Here is a 2,120-nt window from a genome sequence, read left to right on the forward strand (position 1 = left end):
ACATGTTAAGAAAAGTCAAAGCTAGACTTAAATCCAGGTCTGTTTGAATCCAAACCCCGAGTCCTTAAACATCTCATTATTCTGTTCCTTGTGACATGGCACATTTTTCTACATACAAGGAAAGCATAAGGGACATTTGGGGCTATAGTTCCTAGCATTTGTGATTCCCTATTGTTGCCTGAAGTGTTTGAGGAACAATATAATAAAGAACTATGGAGAATCCCTCAGGGAAAGGTTTACAAATAATACAAGTACATGACACAAGAGAGAAAGTGAAGTACCTAGTCTCACATTTCAGCAAAGAAGCAGGAAAGAGAAAAGAGAATTCCACATTTGTCTCACACCCAGAGGTGATGAAATACCATAAAAAGGACTAGCTTAAGAAAAACTGAGAAGTATGTATGCCATGGTCACATTCCCCTGCTCTTGGAATCCATTTCTACCCTAAAGACAATCCACCTAAGTGTTCCAACTGTAGAGTCCAAGATTGTTCTACGCTCTCCTCCATGAAACATTTTTCTCAGGCAACAAATTCATATCTATTTACTTATTCTATGAGTGTGGAATAGAATGGTTGTCTAGCTTCTCCCAGGTATTTACATTTTATGCCTTAACACATTCCTACTCCGCACTTCTCTCCCAGTAGCAATCAAAACAATCCCCAACCCTCCTTGATCACGAATAAAGGGCGTGTGAACTGGAGAGCCAAGGAGTTCTTGCCTGAGCCTTGAAACGTGCATAATCCGACTAGTAAATTCCTCATGTAATGGTGTTAAGGACTTGGGACATTATCTCTCATAGTCTTGAATAAAAATTACCATGTGGAAGTTGGAGGAACTGGGCTTTTATTTTCCCACTTTTTGCTGCTAATCTGCTGTACTATCTTTGGCAAGTCGCTTAGCCTCTCTGGGCTTCAGATTCCTTATTTGTAATGGGCCAGGGCCATAATTAAGAATTGGTTTTATAGCTTATTTCTAGCTGCAGAATCCTTTCATCAAATGATCATCTTTCAGGAGAACCTACAGTGTATAACAGACAAAAAGTGAAACTACTAAGGGAGGAGGGGTGAGGGGACCCCTTCCCATGCTCCTTTATCACGTTAAGGTGCTTCACAGCTTAAACATCCCATGATTATTAGTTAACTCCCTGCAGTCTGAGAAGGAGGCAGGGTCCCAAGTGGGCCACTGCACCAGAGGACTCCCTGGCCCCCAGATGGCTGCCTTCTTTTATCAATGAGCCTCTTCCTAAAGCAAATAAGCAAAGAGAAATCCCACAGAAACCAAGTCTGACGTGAGGACTCAGGGAGTCGATGGAATACTCAACTCCATCCAGGCAAACTAAAACACACTCCAAGGAAGAGATAAGGTTTACGAAAAGGAAACTAACACAATCACTTAAAAGAATTTCAACACTAAACCACTTGAGCCAGGCCACCGGGAGGCTGCAAAACATCAAGGTCAGCCCTGAAAGAAAAGATTTCACAGGGACCCATGACTTGATTTTCCTCTTTTGTTTCTCATTGCCCTGGGGTCAACCTCTTTGAGGTCACTAAGTGCAGGAAGTGTCAGTGGCAGAGTACATAGGAATTTCTCCTGGCTCTGAGTCTTGCAGGACCTCAGCACACTGGAAAGACAGTTACAGGAGGAATGACTATAAATGAATAAATCTGGAATTCTGAATATACCAGACAAAAGCAGCTAACTCAAGAGGGTCACCAGATGAAAAACAAAACAACTTATTTTTGAATTTCAGAAAAACAACAAGTTTCAGCTATATTTGAATTTCAGATAAACGACAAATGTTTTTAGCATATGTCCCAAATATGATGTACTTTTAAAAAATCATTTATTTGTCTGAAATTCAAATTTAATTGAGCATCCCATATTTTAATTTACTAAACTTGGCAACTTTATCCTCATTTTTTTTTAAGAGACAGGGTCTCACCCTGTCACCCAGGCTGGAGCGCAGTGGTGAAATCATAGCTCACTGAACCTCAAACTCCTGGCCTCAAACCTCCCAGATTGCTGGGATTAGAGGCGTAAGCCACAGTTCCTGGCCCAAATTATTTCTTTTAAACTGTTCCTTGGAAATGGTTTTTACAAGATGAGGAACATTCCTTC

The 2,120-nt window shown here is 40.9% G+C and overlaps 1 annotated feature.

Moving 5' to 3' along the window:
* Positions 1,104–1,767: an enhancer, noted in NCBI's record as "NANOG hESC enhancer chr5:33362859-33363522 (GRCh37/hg19 assembly coordinates)". NCBI's record gives its function as "activates a minimal SCP1, AML or CMV promoter by ChIP-STARR-seq in primed H9 embryonic stem cells {active_cell/tissue: H9 hESC(primed)}" and the evidence as "EXISTENCE:reporter gene assay evidence [ECO:0000049][PMID:30033119]".

This window comes from Homo sapiens, chromosome 5 (genome assembly GCF_000001405.40).
Source record: "Homo sapiens chromosome 5, GRCh38.p14 Primary Assembly".
Lineage (NCBI taxonomy): Eukaryota > Metazoa > Chordata > Mammalia > Primates > Hominidae > Homo > Homo sapiens.